The following is a 22987-nucleotide window of genomic DNA, read 5'->3' as shown; positions in this document are numbered from 1 at the left end:
GCCTAGCTTTTGGCCTGTCTCCTGGACTTTCAGCATACCTTCCTCACTAAGCTTAATCATTTCTAGCTTTTGATTTAAAATTTTCTAAGGGATGGGAGTTGGAATAATTTGGATGTTAAGTGGACTAGGAAAATTTAAACTTTTCGCGGTGGCTCACACCTGTAATCCCAGCACTTTGGGAGGCCAAGGCGGGCGGATCCCGAGGTCAGGAGATCAAGACCATCCTGGCTAACACGGTGAAACCCCATCTCTACTAAAAATACAAAAATTAGCCGGGTGTGGTGGCACGTGCCTGTAATTCCAGCTACTCGGGAGGCTGAGGCAGGAGAATCCCTTGAAGCAGGGAGTCTGAGGTTGCGGTGAGCCGAGATCACGCGCCACTGCGCTCCAGCCTGGGAGACTCAGAGAGACTCTGTCTCAAAAAAAAAAAAAAAATTCAAAAACAACTTTTCTTTTAATATATTCGCCAGTAAAATCCAGCAGAGACATTCAGTGTAATAGTCACGTGGCTGTTAATAAGTTTATATACATATGTGTAATATTAATTCTGGGCCAAGAATTAATAGAAACTTATTACTTGATTGTGAGTTAGTAAAATTACTCTTTTGTTATGTTTAAGATCTCTTCATTTCTTCAGTGTAATCATCCATCTCTTATAGCTAAATAATTTTGTGATTTCAGTTTCTTCAAATTTCAAGAAAATGTTTATTTTTTATATTTGTAATTTAAGCTACATGTCTTTTTTTTTTTTTTTTTTTTTAATTAAGAGGGAGTCTCGCTCTATTGCCCAGGATGGAGTGCAGTGGCAAAATATCAGCTCACTGCAACCTCTGCCTCCTGGATTCAAGCAATTCTCCTGCCTCAGCTTCTTGAGTAGCTGGGATTACAGGCGCCTGCCACCACACCCAGCTAATCTTTGTATTTTTGTAAAGATAAGGTTTCACCACGTTGGCCAGGCTGGTTTTGAACTCCTGACCTCAAATAATCCATTCACCTCAGCTTCCCAAAATGCTGGGATTACAGGCGCAACCCACTGCGCTTGGCCTTAAACTACATTTCTTCAACTCTGGTTCCTGATTTATTGTAGTGAGGCCTTAATCTATTAGCAGAGTTTTCCTAGACTCTGTCATATTACCTATGACACTTGACACTGTCTAATACCACCCAAAGTTTAACCTTTCATTCCATCTTTATGTATCATAGTACATTACCTTTTGATGAAAGCTTTTTATCTCCATAGATCAGTGGCATTTCCAACCCTTGCCTGAGACTCTCAGGAATGTGAAGCTGGTTTTACATCAAGGCCTAGTACACTCAATGCATTTAAGTAATAGAAATGATGGTTTCATGAAACTTACTCTTATAATATGTAATGCACTCTTTTTTTTTTTTTTTTGAGACGGACTATCCTTCTGTCCCCCAGGCTGGAAGCATGATCTCAGCTCACTGCAACCTCCGCCTGCCAGGTTCAAGTGATTCTCCTGCCTCAGCCTCCCGAGTAGCTGGGATTATAGGCACGTGCCACCACACCCAGCTAATTTTTTATATTTTTGGTAGAGACAGGGTTTCATCATGTTGGCCAGGCTGGTCTTGAACTCCTACCTCAAGTGATCTGCCCACCTCGGCCTCCCAAAGTGCTGGGATTACAGGCGTGAGCCACTGCACCTGGCCTATAATGCACTCTTGATTATTACACTGTGTTCTACTTCGTCAGTTTAATGATGGACATGAGCTACTGAATTGATTTTAAACTGGATTGTGACCTGTAGTTTATAAAATATTGCTCTGGGCTATGCTATTAAACCGTTTACTTTTGAAATTTGAAGAAACAATTTAAAATTTTTAATTGCAAAGATATTCTTAACCACACAACAAAGTAAGAAAGGAAAAAACAACAACCACAGTTCTTTTTAGAGTCCAGAGTGCTCACCATTACACTGTGGGGTATCCACAGTTCTTTTTATTCCACTCCTTGACATTTTGTTTTCAAAGGTGAATTATCTCACAAAAAAAGGTGACATTTTTGGGAGTTTAATGACAGTGTTATAAGACCTATTCACCATTCAGTGGCTATTTTAGTTTGTTTTTCCTTTTACATTCAAGTGGGCAAAATTAGATTATGATCAGCCATAGTCTTTACGTTTGTGATGACTCAAGATCGCAGGCCTCTATCCGAGTTTTTATATTTCTCCTTCCCCTGAGCACACTACTCCTCTCCCCTCCCCTCATGAGTTATACTCATGTTTAATGTGTATCCTTCCAATCCATGTTCTATAACTTGGCTTGTATGTTTGTGCTCATGAAGAATATAGCATTGTTTTGTATATGTTTTAAGTTTTATGTAATTGTATCATTGCTTGCTTATTTATTTGTTTATTTTGAGACAAGGTCTTGCCCTGTAGCCCAGGCTGGAGTGCAGTGGTGTGATGATGACTCATTGCATTATCAACCTCCTGTGCACAGGTGATCCTTCTACCTCAGCCTCCTCAGTAGCTGGGACTCCAGGCACACCACTATGCCCAGCTAATTTTTATTTTTTAATTTCTTGTAGCAACGGGGTCTCATTATGTGGTCTGGAACTCCTGGGCTCAAGCAGTCCTCCCACCTTGGCCTCCCTAACTGCTGAGATTACAGTCATGAGCCATGGTGCCAGCCTCGTTGCTTTTTAAATTCTGCTTTTTTATTCAGTGTTATTTTTGTAGATCTCAGTGTATCCTTTTTGGCAGATATGTGCTTACACGACATTTTATTTATTCATTTTCCTCTTAATAGACAGTAAAGTTGTTCCTCATGCATTGCTACTGCAAACAGTAGTAGATGCTGTGCTGTCGTGAACATCCTGTGTACATGCCCAGGATCGCACAACTGGGAAGTAGCAGAATCATATTTTGAGTCTGGGTGTGTCTGACTCCATTGATTCGTTTCAACCACTGAGCAGACTCCCACTCATCACTTATGTGCCTAATTTATTACACAAACACTATTATGGTAACAGTAATGGAACTATAATGGGGTTGTATGTCATTTTTCTTTTAAAGGTCAATTCTTAACTTATGGCCTCCTCTCCCCTAGTTTTGCTTTAACTGTAAATTGTATTATTAATTCAGTATAGAAAAGTTTTGTATTCTGTATTTTTCATGTTCATACATCATCTAAATCAAGGGTCTACAAGCTGGGCACAGTGGTATGCACCTGTAGTCCCAGCTGCTCTGGAGGCTGAGGTGGGAGGATCACTTGAGCCCAGGAGTTGGAGGCTGCAGTGAGCTAGAATCCTGTCACTGTACTCCAGCCTGGGCGATGGAGTGAGGACCTGTTTCTTTAAAAAATTTAAATAAATCTATCAACCAAGGATCTACAAACTTTTCTTTTTTTTGAGATGGAGTCTCACTCTTGTCGCCCAGGCTGGAGTGCAATGGTGCAATCTCAGCTCACTGCAACTTCTGCCTCCTGCATTCAAGTGATCCTCCTGCCTCAGCCTCCCTAGTGGCTGGGATTACAGGCACGCACTGCCACACCCGGCTAATTTTTGTATTTTTAGTAGAGAAGGAGTTTCGCCATGTGGACCGGGCTGGTCTCGAACTCCTGACCTCAGGTGATCCACCCGCCTCGGCTTCCCAAAGTGTTGGGATTACAGGCGTGAGCCACTGCGCCTGGCCTACAAACTTTTCAGTAAGGGATCAGATGCTAAGTATTTTAGTCTCTGTGGGCCATAGGGTCTCAATCACAGCTACTTAGCTCTGCAGTCGTAGTGTGAAAGCTGGGGGAGACAATACATATACCCATCAGTGGGGCTGTGTTCCAATAAAACTTTATTTACAAAAACAGATGGCAGACAAGATTTCGTTTACGGACAGGTAGTTTGCTGACTCGTGATCTAAGTGATGATGTTAACAGAATCGTAATATTTATCTACAGAAGCTTTTCCATGTTCCAAGTAATGTTAGAATTCCCTTATTTATTTATTTATTTATTTATCAGATGGAGTCTCTCTCTGTCGCCCAGGCTGGAGTGCAGTGGTGCGATCTCAGCTCACTGCAGCCTCTGTCTCCTGGGTTTCAGCAATTCTCCTGCCTAAAGGCTGCAGAGTGTTGTGGCTGGTTTAGGATACAGATTACATAATCTTTTACTCCCTGATTTGATGTAAAATAGAATTAATTATAATATGAATATAGTGAGCACATAATTGCATTTTTTGCTATTTTTGTTTTGTTTTTAAGACACAGTCTCATATTGTCGTCTGGGCTGGAGTGGTACAATGGCGTGATCGCGGCGCACTGCAGCCTCCACCTCCTGGGTTCACGCCATTCTCCTGCCTCAGCCTCCTGAGTAGCTGGGATTACAGGCGCACACTACCACACCTGGCTAATTTTTTGTATTTCTAGTAGAGATGGGGTTTCACTATATTGGCCAGAGTAGTCTCGAACTCCTGACCTTGTGATCCACCCGCCTTTGCCTCCCGAAGTGCTGGGATTACAGCATGAGCCACCGTGCCTGGCCTTTTGCTGTTTTATTATTGGAAATTATTTTATTGTCACTTTTGACTATCAATGTGTACTCATGGCTTCTCATAGAAATTATTTTTTCATTTTTATGTATGTTTGTCTTTTTTCTTTTTCAATGCTGAATTGTCCAACTTGGACAGTGGAAGCCCCTTTAAACTGATCCTCTGTTTCATTCCTGCCACCCCAGGCATATTTGTGAATATTGTGCTTTCTGGCAACAATAAGCTGATCCAGGCTCTTTGCCTCCAGAAATGCAGTCCCCTGCCTGCGAAGGAGTCCTGGGGTTTTTTAGTGGAGAATAGTATTAGAAGGTCAATTCTGGGTGGGGCGCGGTGGCTCACGCCTGTAATTTGAGCACTTTGGGAGGCCGAGGTGGGCGGATCACAAGGTCAGGAGATCCAGGCCATCCTGGATAACACGGTGAAACCCCGTCTCTACTAAAACTACAAAAAATTAGCCGGGCGTGGTGGCGGGCGCCTGTAGTCCCAGCTACTCGGGAGGCTGAGGCAGGAGAATGGCGTGAACCCGGGAGGCGGAGCTTGCACTGAGCCGAGATTGCACCACTGCACTCCAGCCTGGGTGACAGAGCGAGACTCCGTCTCAAAAAAAAAAAAAAAAAAAAAAAAAGAAGGTCAATTCTGATCTTAAGAAGGTCAAAGGTCAAGTCTGATCTTAAGCTTATCAGTAATAGATAATGTAACACAGCTGCTTTGACCACTGTAATAAACAGATAAAAAAAACCATTTTTTAAAGACTATGACTTTATAGTGATGTTTCTAATTTAACTGTATGGAGTATTAAAATATTTTAAATCAATTTTTTATCATAGTAATACATAAATTTACAGGTCAACTAGTAATTTAAGGTCTATAACAAAAACGTGGTCTCTAGGGAAAAAAACAAAAATCAGTGGCCCCTGCCCCCTGATAAAGGCAACTACTTTGAACATTTTAATCCATTTTTTGTAATACTTAACTCCATGTGTCTGAATAATATACCTTGGTTTTTCCATTTTAGAGCCATTGGCTGTATGCTGTGAATTTCTCATATATCAGACCCCCTTTAACACAGTGAGACATATATACTCTTCCCCTTTCATTTTCTATATGTGGTTTTGGCACAGTTTGTGATTACATATTCAGAAGTTCGACATACCTGTGCAGCCTGTATGTGTGACTTAGAAGTTTTGTTCCTCTTAAAGAAGGGATGGGGAACCTTAACAGGAATCATCTCCTTGTCTCTGCTTCTTCCTTCCTAACTGCAGTAAAGGGGCAGAAAGGGGACAAAGACAGCAAGTCCTGAAATGTCAGTCAATCCTCACTGCATGACTTCCACTAGAATTGTGTGTTTGGATGGTTTAGCTGGTCCTATGAGATGTTTCTTGTTTTCCTTTCTTTTATTTTTTGACTATTATTCTCAAGGGAAGTGACTATGAGTTTTTTTTTAACTCTATCCTTTCTTACTCTAAACTCTAATTGTACTTAATTTGTATATCTTTGGGGTTTTTGTTTTTGTTTTTGTTTGTTGTTGTTGAGATGGAGTCTTGCTCTGTCGCCAGGCTGGAGTGCGGTGGTGTGATCTCGGCTCACTGTAACCTCCACCTCCTGGGTTCAAGCAATTCTCCTGCTTCAGCTTCCCAAGTAGCTGGGACTACAGGCACGTGCCATCACGCCCAGCTAATTTTTGTATTTTTAGTAGAGACGGGGTTTCACCATGTTGGCCAGGATGGTCTCGATCTCTTGACCTCGTGGTCCACTCGCCTCGGCCTCCCAAAGTGCTGGGATTACAGGCATGAGCCACCGCGCCCGGCCTTTTTCTTTGTTTTGTTGTACTTAATTTATAGAAGGCAGATTATCCTTAAGGTTCACTTAGGTATCCATGTTTGTGACATCCCTACCTTGATGATCTGTTATTTTCTTGTGAACTTAACTATGGGACTTTTTTATTTTTCAGATAATTGGTAGAACTTGTTACTCATAGAACCCCATCATCACTTCACTGAGTTACCTTTTTTGTTGTTGTTTTTATAATGTTTCTTTTTATATATTAAACACACTTGTCAGTTTGGGAAAATTATTTAATTATTGTATACAAATGGAAAGTATTTGGAAATCACTCTTTAGTCTGATGTTTACATTTTTTTTTCAGATATATTTTTGCCATCATGGATCAGTTTGGAGATATATTAGAAGGTGAAGTGGACCATTCTTTCTTTGACAGTGACTTTGAAGAAGGAAAGAAATGTGAAACTAACTCAGTTTTTGACAAGCAAAATGATGACCCAAAGGAAAGAATAGATAAAGATACAAAAAATGTAAATTCGAACACTGGAATGCAAACAACAGAAAATTATCTTACTGAGAAGGGAAATGAAAGAAACGTGAAATTTCCCCCAGAACACCCCGTAGAGAATGATGTTACACAAACTGTAAGTTCTTTCTCATTGCCAGCCTCTTCAAGATCAAAAAAATTGTGTGATGTTACAACAGGACTTAAAATACACGTGTCCATTCCAAATAGAATTCCCAAAATTGTAAAAGAAGGTGAAGATGATTACTACACAGATGGAGAGGAAAGCAGTGATGATGGGAAGAAATACCATGTGAAGTCCAAGTCCGCTAAACCATCTACTAACGTTAAAAAAAGCATAAGGAAAAAGTATTGCAAAGTTAGCTCCTCTTCCTCCTCCTCTTTATCTTCCTCATCTTCAGGTTCAGGTACAGATTGTTTAGATGCAGGGTCTGATAGCCATCTATCTGATTCGTCTCCGTCATCTAAGTCATCTAAGAAACATGTATCTGGTATAACCCTCCTGTCACCAAAACACAAGTATAAATCAGGAATAAAATCGACAGAAACACAGCCTTCAAGTACTACACCAAAATGTGGCCACTACCCTGAGGAGTCTGAAGATACTGTGACTGACGTAAGTCCCTTATCAACTCCAGACATTAGCCCTCTTCAGTCTTTTGAACTGGGCATAGCAAATGATCAAAAAGTGAAAATTAAAAAGCAAGAAAATGTGAGCCAAGAAATATATGAAGATGTTGAGGATTTGAAAAATAATTCAAAATATTTGAAAGCAGCCAAAAAAGGGAAAGAAAAACATGAGCCTGATGTCTCCTCAAAGTCGTCTTCAGTGTTAGACTCCAGTTTAGACCACAGACATAAACAGAAAGTCTTACATGACACAATGGATCTGAATCATCTCTTGAAAGGTAATTTTCTTTTCTTCTTAAAAATGTGTGTTTAAATATTATATATTGGGCATAAATATTAAATGCTATGAATTTGCATTGATCTAGTAGATATTTTTTATTGTTGGGAATGATTGATATTATTAGTAACTTTACCAAATACTCTATTTTACCATAAAAATATCTAGAATATCGTTTGTATTATTTTGTATAGTAATTTGTGTTTGTATAATACAAATTTTATTTTAGTGCCTTAAAAACTCAGAATGTCTAGAGGAAACAGATGGATAAGATAAATGAGAGAAGGGTAGCCAGATGTTTTTCCACTTTTGATAGAGACACGGACATATTTCACTTTCTTCTTTAAGAAAGGCAGCAGTGCTCAGGTTAACACCTGATGTGGCGTCCTCATATCAGGGACAGTGGCAAGAATGCTGGCAAATGAGAGAACTCAGAGTAAACTAAAGAGGACTCTTCAGACTTTTAAGTTAAAGGCTAAAGAGCATTACTTAAAAATAATTACCAAATTGATGAAAAACATTAAGTTGCTTTAAGATAATAAGGTATTTTTGAATTAGAGTAGTCTTTTTGCTTTGTTTCTTATCAGTTTATTATTATTTATATTTAGTTTGAAAGTAACAATTTTCCAGTTCAAATAAAAGCAACTTCAAAGTTTATCTTTGGATTAGTTAATAGAACTAATAATACTGGGTGGGTTTTAGGTCCGTTGATGATAAAGTTTTTAAATTGTAAATAGAATTCTCTGTCTTCCTGTTTGAAATGTTAGTCTTTAACTAGATAAATTGCATATGGTAGCAATGTAAGGGCATAAACACCTTGTTAGTAGAAAATGGTCAAATTGACAGTGTATTTAGGAGCAGTTCACACTTGATGTTGCCACTTTTGTAGGTTTTGTTTTTTGTTTTTGAGATAAGGTCTTTCTCTGTCATCCAGGCTGGAGTGAAGTGGCGTGACCACAGCTCACTGCAGCCTTGACCTCCTGGGCTTAAGTAATCCTCCTGCCTCAGCCTCCTGAGTACCTAGGACCACAGTCATGCCCCACCACACCTGGCTAATATTTTTTATTTTTGTAGAGATGAGGTTTCACTATGCTGCGCGGGCTGCGTCGAACTCCTGGCCTCAAGCAAACCTCCTACCTCAGCGTCCCGAAGGGCTGGGATTATGGGTGCACGCCACTGCATCTGGCCCTTTTGTAGGTATTTTTTCCCCCTTTCTCTGATTGTACCTATTGATTTTTCTCCCTTTCTCTGATTGTACCTATTGATTGTTTAGAGTCTCTGAAAAATCACACTCTTATTGGCTAAGTCTTCACCCCATAAATCTTTCCTAATAAATGCTCATTCAGACTCTCAGAACTTTCAGCATTAAAGAGTTTTCTATTCATGCCCTCAATTCCTCCCATAAGAACTAAAGTGATCTTTTGCAAAGTAAAAAAAAAGTAAATCAATCCTATTAGTTTCCACTCTTCAGTGACTTACTCTTATATTAAAATAATACCTGGCCAGGAGCAGTGGCTCACACCTGTAATCCTAGCACCTTTGGAGGCCAAGGTGGGCAGATCGCTTGAGGTCAGGAGTTTGAGAGCAGCCTGGCCAACATGGCAAAACCCCGTCTCCGCAAATAATACAAAAAATGAGCCGAGCGTAGTGGCACACGCCTGTATTCTCAGGTACTCGGGAGGCTGAGGCATGAGAATTGCTTGAGCCTGGGAGGCGGAGTTTGCAGTGAGCTGAGATTGTGCCACTGCACTCCAGCCTGGATGACAGAGCGAGACTCCCATCTCAAAAAAAAAAAATGTATATATGTGTATATATATATATGAAGCCAGGTGTGGTGGCACATACCTATAATCCCAGCTACTTTGAAGGCTGAGGCTAGAGGGTCCCTTGAGTCCCACCTAGGCAACATAGTGAAACCCTGGATGTTATTATTAAAATAATAATAATAGCGGCCGAGCACGGTGCTCACGCCTGTAGTCCCAGCACTTTGGGAGGCTGAGGCAGGCGGATCACGAGCTCAAGAGATCAAAACCATCCTGGCCAATGTGGTGAAACCCCATCTCTACTAAAAATACAAAAATTAGCTGGGCGTGGTGGCAGGCGCCTATAGTCCCAGCTACTCAGGAGGCTGAGGCAGGAGAATTGCTTGAACCCAGGAGGTGGAGGTTGCAGTTAGCCGAGATCACGCCACTGCACTCCAGCCTGGCGACAGAGCGAGACTCCGTCTCAAAAAAATGATAATAGTAATAATATCTGAATTCCTTGTTATTGCCTAACAGACTCCAGATCAGTAATTCTCATCCCAGGCAGTGCATTAATATCACCTAGAGAACTCTTAAAACAAATACTGATGCCTAGGCTCTGCACACAGGGATTCTGATGCATTTGGTCTAGTATGCTGTTGAGATTGGTGACAACCATTGCTGTACGTTGTATGGATATTGCTGGCCTTTTCGACCTGATGTTGAATTACTGAGTTCCAGTCACACTTTGTTGTTGTTGCCGCTCCTGTTGTAAGGACACTCCGGGTTTTTTCCCGTTGGTGAGGCACTTGCATTGCTGTGGCCCTTTTTCTTTGCAGAGGGCTCTGCTTCTCCCTGTTTCTCAAGTCTCTGCCAGGGAGAGCCTTTTTCTAGACATCTATCTTTGGGAGCTTTACACTCCCCATGCCTCTCTGTGTCGCAAAAGCTTGTTTCTCTCCATCGGGATACTTACTAGACTCTGAAATTAGTTAGTTTGCTTGTGTGTCCCATTGCAGTGAATGAAGGCAGGATCTTATTTCTTGTTGGAATTTCCAAATACAGGCACATAATAGACAGTATTTGTAGACTGAAGGGACTGTCAGGAAACTGCTTCTGTTGCACAGCTGTGCTGGTTAGGAAACATATTTCATATGTTCATGGAAATTTCATTTTATAACAGTTGCCCATTCCTGTTAAAACTTGCCATCTGAAATACATAGAATAAGTCTGTGCATCCTTCTGCATTATAATCTTTAAGACATTTGATTAATATTCTCCCCTGGGTAAAATCTCCAATTTTTAATCAAGCCATCTGGGGTAACAATTTTCTTGTAATTCTTTTTTCTTATAATTCTTATGGCCACTTTCCAGTCTGTGTGTTCATTAGTTAAGCTAGAGCATACGATTCGCTAGGTGGATGATTTATTGGGTTGACAGACAGCAGGCTGCAGCTCTCTCCTGCTCTTCTGGATTTCCAGCACCAACCTCAAGTGCTCTAACACAACGATTTTTAAACATTTTGGTCTTAGGACACTTTTACATTCATAAAAGTTATTGAGGATTCTGAAGAGCTTTTGTTTATATAGGTTATAGCTTATATCTGTAAATATTTACCATATTAGAAATTACACATTTTTAAAATATTGATTTGTTTAATAGTAGTAATAAACTCATTATGTAGTTGCCATATAATGTAAGTAATGTATGTCATGAAAAAGGTGTATATCCAAAAAAATTAGTGATTTTTGCTAATCACTAGCATCTGGTTTAATAGAATGTAGCTGGATTCTCAAATCAGCTTCTGCTTATAATCTATTATAATCTATATATCATTGGCTAAAGGATGTATAGAAAATATGCCATATGCAAAATGTTCAAAAATGAAGGAGTATTTTAATAACCTTTTCAGTTACTTGTGGATTTTTTTATACCACAAGTCGTATTTTCTTTTCTGTTGTTGTTGTTTTTTGAGACAGAGTCTCACTCTGTTGCCCAGGCTGCAGTGCAGTGGCGCGAGCTTGGCTCACTGCAACCTCTGCCTCCCGGGTTCAAGCAATTCTCCCACCTCAGCCTCCTGAGTAGCTGGGATTACAGGCGCCCTCCACCACGCCTGGCTAATTTTTGTATTTTTAGTAGAGACGGGGTTTCACCATGTTGGTCAGGCTGGTCTGGAACTCCTGACCTCAGGTGATCCACCTGCTTCGGCCTCTCAAAGTGCTGGGATTACAGGTGTGTACCACCTCGCCTGGCCCACAAGTAATAGTTTCTTAGATGTTAGTTGCAATGTGAAATCTGAAATTAATCTCAGTTAACTTTTAATCGTGAATTTCAAGTCTGTTATGTTAAAACATATTGATCTTTCTTGATTGATTTTTAATGTATATTTTACCTATGCCTGGTTTTGGAATGTGACATATTGGGTATTTGGAAAATATTGTTTCACTGAGCTTACAAATGTTGGCAGGCCAGGTACAGTGGCTACGCCTGTCATCCCAGCACTTTGGGAGGCAGACGTAGGCAGATCACTTGAGCCCAGGAGTTTGAGACCAGCCTGGGCAACATGGTGAAACCCTGTCTCTACAAAAAATACAAAAATTAGCTAGGCATGGTGGTGTGTGCTACTGTAGTCCCAGCTGCGGGGGGAGGTTGAGATAGGAGGATCTCTTGAGCCAGGGAGTTGGAGGTTGCAGTGAACTGAGATCACGCCACTCCATTCCAACCTAGGAGACAGAGTAAGACCCTGTCTCAAAAAAAAAAAAAAAAAAAAAGGTTGGCAAATTTCAGAATACATTATATAGAAATCATAGTTGTTAATATCACTACCAGCCTCATCAGAAAGCTCTTGAGAAGCTGTCAAACTCATGGTGGCAGATACAAGTTTACCTAAAATACTATTTTTTGCTAAAAAGCTCAAATTTTATTATTGGTAATAAATACTGTCAACTGTTTTCCTTGAAGTGACAGAATTGTTCTTTAAAATTATATTTGTAATGCAAAAATTGGATGGTGGTTGAAATTAAATCATAAAATATCATGAGATAATGCAGATTGCTCACTAATATTGTGTAATAACATATATCTTGATATATTTGCCTTTTTTCTTGTGCATCAAATTTCTATTGCTGCATTGCTCTTCGTTCATAATTCTTACTGTGATTTGTATGTGTTGAACCCATTTCCTGTTCAGAAAAAAAAAAGTACAGCTCACTGCCAGCACTCATTTCTTGGGGCAAATGGGAAACGTGTTAAAAAGTTGCAGCCTATTGTTTGGCATTAAAAAGTATTGTTCTTATAAAATTAGGTTAAAAATGGGTTGAAAAGAGAAATGTTCTAGAAGATAAATTAAAATGTTCAATATGTCTAGTGGGCTTTATTTTTTAAATATGGGCTTGTTTGACTAAATCATAATTTTTATTTTTAAGGGGACACTTCCGTTTTTTAAAATCTTGTAAGTACTATTTGTTCCCACAAATTATAAACCCCACTGTATCCTAGGAAAGAGGATTAAAAAACGAGCATACAAAAGGAAGGTATTGTTTCAGCCAATAAAAAGCTTCTTACAGGAAGAAAACACTCAACTCTTAGAATTGTCAAGTTTTTAAAAACCATCTAATAGAAAATAGTCTGATTTCTGGGCTTTTTGTTCAGAGTCATCAGTGATTATCCAGGATTTTGAATACAAGAAGGGAATTCCGAATGAAACAATATTTCTCATATAACAGGTCACCCAAAGACACGCTAGACTTCAGGGTTGATTGAGTGGCTCAAAACTTCATCAGGGACCTACTTTCTAGCACTGTGTTCCTCCAGCCCTGGTGTTGGCTTCGTTCTTAGGCTGCTAGGAGATGTCTGCAGCCGTTTTCAGTGTTCACCTTCAGACACAACAGTGTCCAGAGGAAGAGACAGTGTCTCTTCTCTGACTCTTGGAATGGAGGAAACTTCTTAAAGAAATTTGGCCCAGTCAACATCCACATAGGTCTCCTTGCCCAGAACTGGTTACGCTCCCATTCCCGAACCAGTCGTTGGTAGGGGAAATGGGATTATCCTGGGCCAAGCAGGCTCACCCTGGAAGTCAGGGATCTGTGAAGTAGGAGGAAAATAGATATACAGTAATTGGGCAGCCAACTTTGTCCAAGAGAGCTTCTCAAACTTCAGTATGCATACGGTTAACCCAGGGATACTGTTAAAATGCAGATTTGGGTTCAGTAAAACTAAGGTAAGAGCTAAATCGGCATTTCTAATCAGCCCCTACTGGTGATACCCGTGCTGCAGATCTAGGGACCATGGTCTGAATATCAAGACACTGAGTAAACTATTTGGTTCCATTGAAAATAAAGCATTCTTCACTCTTCCTGTCTAACCCATTTCTGAAACTTAATTAGATATAGAGAACCTAAATATTTTTAACTTTTAAATAAGAAAAATAATCCTACCCCAAACTCCTGAACAGTTCCCCAATTATAATTAAATTGAAATACTGTTAAAAAGCATTTAACACAGATGCTGAGCTAAAATGTAGAAGGGAAGCTTTATTCATAGTACTGCATAGTAAAGAACCCCTGATAGAAGAGATTTGCCAGTAGGTGGCGCTCAGGGCTTTTTAAGGCGCAGGAACAAACATGGCATTTTGCCAGTTGGTACATCTGTTATTGGAGTCCATAATATAACAATCCACCAAGGATTCTTCATAATAATAAAGCATTTTAAACACTAATTAGGACTGTCAGTCTATTATATAAGGTATTGCAATCATTTTTCAAAATTATCATTCATGCTCGATTTACACAGTGAAGCATTTCAGATCCAAAATTATTTTCCTATGTTTTCTTTATTTTCCACCATATAACTGCAACTGTGGTCATGGTAGGTGGATATGAATGCAGAGCCAGGCTTGTGCCTTTTCTGCATTCATCTCTCAATACACTTTATCACTTCTAACTTACACTAAATAAGCTTTTCTAGGCTGCTTTGGCTTACCTAATTTCTTCACTGCCTTTTCTACTTCCTGGAACATAAATCCACTTAGTATGGGGAGGATGATGGTGAAGACAACATGTGAGCCCATCAGAGCACAGCTGAGGCAGGAATGCAGCATACTCTCTGCATCCTTTCAGTTTAAACATTTTCACGGACTTCAGTACAGAGGTTCGGTAAACCAGTTTACTGCTTAAGGTAGTGAATACTAAGTAAAAAATTTTGCAAGTTAACAGCCATATTAGGTGAGAGTTCAGATAATGAGGGATACCTGTATAGCCAACCACATCAACATTTTATTGGTTTAAAAGAACCTTTTTTTTTTTTTGAGACGGAGTCTTGCTCTGTCACCCAGGCTAGAATGCAGTGGCGCAATCTCAGCTTACTGCAGCCTCCACCTCCCGGGTTCAAGTGACTCTCCTGCCTCAGCCTCCCGAGTAGCTGGGATTACAGGCGGGCACCACCACGCCCAGCTAATTTTTGTATTTTTAGTAGAGACGGGGTTTCACCATGTTGGCCAGGCTGGTCGTGAACTCCTGACCTCAGATGATCCGCCCGTGTCAGCCTCCCAAAGTGCTGGGATTACAGGCATGAGCCACCACGCCCAGCCCGTTTGTTGTTTATGAAATAGAAATTTGAACTATAAAATATTAAGCCTATGAAACAAAGATTGATAAAAGAATGTAAAATTGAATCTACCAGTATAGGGCATGGAATGACGAGACAGTGTTGAACCAAGGTAAAGACAGTTTTGAAAGTGGAATAAAACTTAGGCTTCTGGGTGTTACCGACATGATCACAAACAAGACAGCAACTGTTCTGAGCTTCAGGCACTCTATTTGTAGGAGGAGATTGTTGATATAGGTTGCTAGGGTCCATTCTAACTTCAGAGTTCTTCGGGTTCTGTGAGAAATAGTGGAAGAAGGGAAGACCATTGCATAGTGGCAGTATTAGATACAGGACTTTGAAGTGGATCTTGAAAGATTAGTCGAATTTCTGAATATTCAACCTCTTTTAGCTCAAGGGTGGCTGACTTGGGGAATTTTCCACCTCCATGCAAAGCTGCCTTTGCTATGTAAATGTCAAAAAATGGTTGGAATTAGATCCTTCATCTTGACCTGTAAATCCCTGAATAGGCAGAGAGGGCATTAAAAAAATGGAGTAGTAAACAGAAGTTTAGACATCAAGTTATGGTATGAATCTCACCGATTTGGAGAGCATTGAAGACGTTGACCACACTAGATTTAAAGGTATGTTTCATATTTTGTATAGGTAAAATTAGGTCACTTTAAAAAGAATCTGAAACAGCAAAAATTTAAAATATTTTAGAAATACATGGCCTCAAAATCTACTATATAAACTATGAAATAATCACTACAGGATGTATTTTGAGAAGAAAAATAAATACAAGAAATGGGATTGAAGAAGCATTGATGAGCAAAGAAACTGGTTAAATTTTTTGCTAAAGTGATACCAACGTGTGAGGGATTGAAGTGAAGTGCCTTGTTCAAGGGAAGATACAGACCCTGTTATGCTCCATAAGAAAGGAGATGCCCATACTGAGATTAGCTACCAGCACGTCCTGCCTGGCAGCACATTTTATCCTTTCTTCCTGGCAAACTGCAGGAAATCTCAATGCCCTCAACACACTACCAAGTATTGCCAAACATTTAAGAAAAGCAAAAACCAACAGAGAGGCACCAGACTCATAGCTGAAGAATGTAATACTTCAAACTCTTAAAAGAGCAAGCTTGATGATTTTAGGATCTTTGAGGACAAAACTGTTTTCACTAAGACTATGCCGGCTGGGTGTGGTGGCTCATGCCTATAATCCCAGCACTTTGGGAGGCCGAGGCGGGCGGATCACCTGAGGTCGGGTGTTCGAGACCAGCCTGACCAACATGGAGAAACCCTGTCTCTACTAAAAATACAAAATTAGCCGTGCGTGGTGGCACATGCCTGTAATCCCAGCTACTCGGGAGGCTGAGGCAGGAGAATGGCTTGAACCTGGGAAGCGGAGATTGCAGTGAGCCAAGATCGCGCCATTGCATTCCAGCCTGGGCAACAAGAGCAAAACTCCGTCTCAAAAAAAAAAAAAAAAAAAAAAGTATGATTATGCCTTGATTTGCTTTTTATTTAATTAATTTTTTTTTATTTTTATTTTTTTTGAGACGGAGTCTCGCTCTGTTGCCCATGCTGGAGTGCAGTAGTGCAACCTCCGCCTTCCTGGTTCAAGCAATTCTCGTGCCTCAGCCTCCCCAGTAGCTGGGATTACAGGTGTGTGCCACCATGCCTGGCTAATTTTTGTATTTTTAGAGTATTTTGTCTGCAGACAAAAGTCTGCAGAGACAAGGTTTTAAGCCAGGCATTAAACGACTTGCAAAACAAACTCTGCCACTCGCTGACTTTTTAAAATAAAAATGTTATGTTCACATATAATTGGTTTATTATTTTTAGAGGAATTAATATCTTTAAAACAATTTCTAGCATGGTAACTATTGGTAGATGTAACCCACATACACATTCTTTGGGGTCCTCAGTCTTTAGGGGGGGTGTTAAGGGGTCCTGAGGTTTAGGAGAATGGAACTAGAATAGGTGATTAGACTATTCATAATGCTACAAACTTTTGGAGAAAATCTTAGAGAAAAAAGTTTTTAACTTAGTCAATCTCCCAAAATAGAAAAGAATGAGAAAAAACAGTAACAAAACTTCAGTTAAAGATTACAGGAAAAAAGTACAAAGAATGCAAGTGGGTGGTTGGGTAGTTTTAACTTACCAGAAGATACTATCAGAGCATATTAAAAAAAATACAGAAGTATTACTTAGGCTTAAAAATGAAGGAAATTCTGACATAATGCTACATGGGTGAACCGTGAGGACATTATGCTAAGTGAAATAAGGCAATCTCAAAAAGACAAATAAGTGCTGTATGATTATATGAGATGCTTGGAGTGGTCGAAATTATAGAGACAAAGCTTCCAGAGGCGAAGGGAAGGGAGCAATGGGGAGTCAGAGTTTAATGGATACAGAATTTGTTTTACACAATGGAAGGAGTTTTGGAAACTGGTGGTGGTGATGGTTACACAATATGAATGTATTCGGTACCACTGAACTGTATACTTAAAAATGGTTAACGTGGTAAATTTTGTGTTCCGTGTATTTTGCCACAATAAAAAAATAAAACACTAGCCCTGTCTGATAGGGTTTCTGTTATGCTAAATATGAGTGCTCAGTATATGCCAACAGAATTGGGAAAAAAATAAACAACATTCAGCCTAAAAAGATATTTAAAATAGTATAGGAAGAATGAAAATAAGGGCTAGAAAAATACATGCCAATATCTCCTTTAACAAGGAGAAAGTAAAACTTATCAATCCTATTAATATACAACATAGAACTCAAGATGTGAACATCACTAAAAGAGATAGAGAAGGGTGTTTCACATTAGTAAATGGGTCAAATACACTAAAAAGATAAAATTCATTGATTTGAAATGTATGATAAAGGCAAAATAGAACTGGAAAATAACATTTGGGAAGCCACATCACCATGGAAGCATTGATAATCAATTTAAACCAAATAACAACAAAAACTAGCATCTGCTTGTGGGATGCTCTTGGCCACAGGTATTTTGTCACACAATGCTTTTTTAAAAGTGATGAACTAATCAGCTACTACTGCATGACAGATTACCCCAACACTTAGGGAATAGAGAGACCCAAAGGTAGAGGTGACTCAGTGGCCGGGACTACAGTCAACCCAGTGCTGTGTTTTCACATCAGGTGCCTGGGCTTGGTACAGCCTGAAGGCCAGAACCCAAGGGCCCATGTGGGGTTCTCCATGTGGCCTGGCTTCCTCACGTCTCAGCCATAGGGTAGTTGGACTTCTTACATGGTGGCTCAGGATTCTAAGCACGTGTGTTCCAGGAAACAAGGCAGAAACCTCATTGCCTTTTATGACCTAGCCTCAAAAGTCACATAGCATCATTTCTTTCATGCTCTATTGGTTGAAATGGTCATAAACCCTCCCAGATTTAACGCAAAAGGGCATAAACCTCTACTTCTTAATGGGAGGAGTGTCAAATAATGTAAATTATAATAATCTTTAATTTAAAGATTTTATATCTTAAAATCTCTTCAGTCCAACTTCCGGCCACAGATTTATTAACATTCTTCCCATATGCAAGAATGCATTCGCTCTTTCCACAGATGCCCCTAACTTGAGATCCAGGATGTCAGTCGGGTCCAGCTGCAGCTGAGATTCCTCAGGTGTTGGTTTCTCAGCCATGGCTCTTTGAGTACTTTGAGAATCTCCTGGGAAAGACTAGGGATGAGGAGCAGTTTTACTTTTAAACCCCGTTAAGTCTTGGCTCTTTTATATTCTTTCTAAATTTTGCTTGAAAACTGGCCAGTTCTTTTTATGATTTTTTTAGCGCCCCTCTCTTTGTCCGTTCTTACTGTGGGTAAAATAAACCACTGGTGCTCTGAGCGTTCTGCTTGGGGGTCTGCTGGGCCAGATCTACCAGTGTGGTCGTTAGTTTCTCTATTTCCCTTAACACCGCAAGCACAGGGTCGCTGGACATTTTGCCATTTCATCCCCTCAGACTTCATCAACAGCCTTCTCCAGGCCCTTGCAGCTCTGCCGGCCACCAGGTCCCAAAGCTGGTCCACCTGTGCTAAGTCTGTTCCAGGAGCACCTCATTTCCTGTGCCATGGTTAGGCACTTTGATCCTGCTCTTTGAGTCTTTGCAGGTTGCTGCTTCACACAACTAAGTCTTGTGGTGATGTGTTAGCAGAGCAGTAGTAACTAATATAAAATAGAGAACATTTCCATCATCCTAGAAAATTTGCTTCATGCTGCCCTTTGATCAAAACCCACCCTTCAGCCTGGTGCAGTGGCTCATGTCTGTAATCCCAGCACTTTGGGAGGCCGAGGCAGGTGGATCACCTGAGGTCAGGGGTTCAAGACCTGGCCAACATGATGAAGCCCCCATCTCGACGAAAAATACAAAAATTAGCCGGGCGTGGTAGTGGGCGCCTGTAATCCCAGCTACTCAGGAGGCTGAGGCAGGACAATCGCTTGAACTGGGGAGGCAGAGGTTGCAGTGAACCAAGATCACGCCACTGCACTCCAGTCTGGGCGACAGAGCAAGACCCTGTCTCAAAAAAAAAAAAAAAAAAAAAAAAAGACAAAAACCGTTAGGGGAAAATAGCTTACTATTAATTTCCTTTAGAATTGAATTTTAAAGGGCTTATAATCTAGAAGCCTTGTTCTACAAAATGCGTATTTCTTGGAGGCAAGATAATTTCACATGTTTTATGCATCTAAGTCTGTTTCTCTAAATGTTTCTCATTCAGGTTTTGTCACTAACTTGGCATACTTTTCAGCAAATTACCAATCATTAATTTCTTCATTTTCCTACCAGGAAGCCACTGTTAATTATTTTTTAAAATTTTCTGTAACCTTTAATAGTCTTTGGTTTAAATGTAGGGAAGTAGAGTTACAATTTTTGTGACCTTGCCCAAGTGATGTAACTTTTCTATACCATACTTACTTTATTTATTTTTTATTTATTTATTTTGTTTTATTTTTGAGATGGGAGTCTTGCTCTGTCGCCCAGGCTGGAGTGCACTGGCATGATCTCCGCTCACTGCAACCTCTGCCTGCTGGGTTCAAGCGATTCTCCTGCCTCAGCCTCCTGAGTAGCTGGAATTACAGGTGTGTGCCACCACGCCCAGCTAATTTTTGTATTTTTAGTAGAGACGGGGTTTTGCCATGTTGGCCAGGCTGGTCTTGAACTCCTGACCTCAGGTGATCTACCCATCCCTGCCTTCCAGAGTGCTGGGATTACAGCTGTGAGCCACTGTGCCTGGCCCATACTTATTTTTAAATAGGGGATTAAAAATGTCCCAGCATAAAATGCTAAACATGTTTAAAAAATTAACATAAGGATAGTCAAACAAAAACAAATAATGGTTACTTAATCTGATATCGTGTATTCCTTTTTTTTTTTTGGAGACAGAGTCTTACTCTGTTGCTCAGGCTGGAGTGCAATGGCGCAATCTCGGCTCACTGCAACCTCTGCCTCCTGGGTTCAAGCAATTCTCCTGCCTCAGCCTGCTGAGTAGCCGAGATTACAGGTGCACACCGCCAAGCCAGGCCAATTTTTTGTATTTTAGTAGGGATAGGGTTTCACCATGTTGTCCAGGCTGATCTCGAACTCCTGACCTCAGGCAATCCACCTGCCTCAGCCTCCCAAAGTGCTGGGATTACAGGCTGAGCCACCGCGCCTGGCCTCAGTGTGTCCCTTTTTAGTACATACTTAACCTGAAACATTCAGCAAGTTTAATACTTTTGGATGTTTTCTACAAATGTTTAGTAGTAATTGCACTTATTGATAATTATAATATGGAAATTTAAGAAATAAGCATGTTGATAAAAATTATAGTATGCAAAATATTGTTGCTAGCTAAAAACACCTTTCTGTTTAATCAGGAATAAAATGTTTGACTTTTACAGTAGAAGTATTTGCTTTAATGGCAATATTAAGATTTATAAATCCAGCATCTTTTCTGGTTAAGTTGAGAGTTTTGGAATATTCGGAGTTACTTTTTGCCATTGTTTCCCTCAGTCATTGCTGAGGACATTTTTTTGGAAGTATGCCCTCCAACTAAGAAAAGCTGTACCTAAATTAAGTATTGTATTAGTGCCCTCAACTCTGAGGTTTCTAACCTTTCCAGCTATTAAACTGCAGTCGGGAAGGATAAAATTGATATAACAAAGGCATTGTCTGTAAATTATACTAGCCTAAAGACCAGTACTATATACATTTTTAAAGATACTTTCATTGTTTCGTGTGTAGCTTTTATGCCCAAGGAACCCGGTGAGCATAAAATACTAAGCTACGTCCAATTTTTTTCTACAAAGTTGTAATCTAGATGTCATTAGTATTATTTCATACATACTTTTTCTTGAATTTAATACATATTTTTAAGGGTTAAAGCATGTACCACCGGGCCAGGCACAGTGGCTCACACCTGCAATCCCAGCACTTTGGGAGGCTGAGGTGGGTGGATCACCTGAGGTCAGGAGTTCGAGACCAGCCTGGGCAACATGGTGAAACCCTGTCCCTACTAAAAATACAAAAATTAGCCAGGCATGGTGGTGGATGCCTGTAATCCCAGCTAGTCTGGAGGCTGAGGCAGGAGAATCGCTTGAACCCAGGAGGCGGAGGTTGCAGTGAGCTAAGATTGTCCCATTGCACTCCAGTCTGGGTAACAAGAGTGAAACTCCGTCTAAAAAGAGAAAAAAAAAAAAAGCATGTACCACATACTTACTTTGGCCATTTTCTCTTTTTTTTTTGTTCTTTTCTGTAGCTTTTCTGCAATTAGATAAAAAAGGACCACAAAAACATCACTTTGATCAGCCTTCAGTAGCACCCGGGAAAAACTACTCTTTCACAAGAGAAGAGGTGAGACAGATCGATCGGGAAAATCAGAGGCTTTTGAAAGAACTGTCAAGACAGGCGGAAAAGCCGGGAAGCAAAAGTACAATTCCTAGATCGGCTGATCATCCCCCAAAGTTATATCACAGTGCTCTCAACAGACAGAAGGAACAACAAAGGATTGAGAGAGAAAACTTGGTAAGTAACTGAAATAATTAGTCATCAAAGAAAATGTGTTTGCACTGATTTGTATGTCCAGCTTACAGGAAACCTAAATACAGCCAAATATTCAAACTTCATTACATAAAAGCAGGTGCGGTATGTGTGGTATGAAACATATGATGTGCTGTAAGTCCGGAGGATACGATATGTATTTTTATCCAGGAAACTATATATTAAGAGACCACTGGCCAGATGCAGTGGGTCACGCATATAATTCTAGCACTCTGGGAGGCCGAGGTGGGCAGATCGCTTGAGGCAAGGAGTTTGAGACCAGATTGCACAATCTGGCAAAACCCCAGCTCTACCAAAAATGCAGAAATTAACTGGGCATGGTGGGCATGGTGGCACACACCCGTGGTCCCAGATACTTGGAAAGCTGAGGTGGGAGGAGCATCTGAACCCGGGAGGCGGAGGTTACAGGGAGCCGAGATTCTACCACTGGACTCCAGCCTGGGCAACAGAACCAGACTCCACCTCAAAAAAAGAAAAGAGAAGAAAAAAGAGAGAGAGAGAGAGAGAGAGAAGGAGACCATTAAAGGAAAATACTGAAAGCTCCATTATTTATTTGCCTAGATCAGTTAAATCACTACAGTAGAACAGGAAATGGTATCCAAGTGTTTCTTCTGTGAAGTATTCAGTCACTAGTGAAATCTCTTTTACTTTATTGTGTCCTGGAAAGCTAAAATAAATTGTACATCACTTATTTTAAAGGATCAGTATATCTCGAATAGGCCAAATTGCTAATCTGCTACTTAAATGTATGAAACATTGATTGTTACAAATCATATAGTTTGATATTATAAGAAAATAAATATGGGAACTGTTGAAAATCTTCACATTTAAAACTATTATAGCATATTTTCTTCATAAGATTTAGTTCATAATA

General features: G+C 40.1%; 1 protein-coding gene across 7 annotated transcripts in view; it reads left to right on the top strand.

The window, feature by feature from the left end:
- The window catches only part of CFAP97 (cilia and flagella associated protein 97), a 50584-nt gene that overhangs the window by 12386 nt on the left and 15211 nt on the right, over positions 1–22987 (top strand). For all 7 annotated transcript variants that reach the window (XM_047416016.1, XM_047416015.1, NM_020827.3 and 4 more), the window contains 2 exons: positions 6651–7720; positions 21812–22077. In XM_047416016.1, the coding sequence (XP_047271972.1) occupies positions 6667–7720; positions 21812–22077 (1320 nt within the window). In that variant the 5' untranslated portion in view covers positions 6651–6666. The remainder of the gene's footprint in view (positions 1–6650; positions 7721–21811; positions 22078–22987) is intronic.

This window comes from Homo sapiens, chromosome 4, assembly GCF_000001405.40.
Source record: "Homo sapiens chromosome 4, GRCh38.p14 Primary Assembly".
NCBI classification, from domain to species: Eukaryota; Metazoa; Chordata; class Mammalia; order Primates; family Hominidae; genus Homo; species Homo sapiens.
Note: the sequence above shows the minus strand (reverse complement) of the source record. Positions and strands in the feature narration are given on the sequence as shown.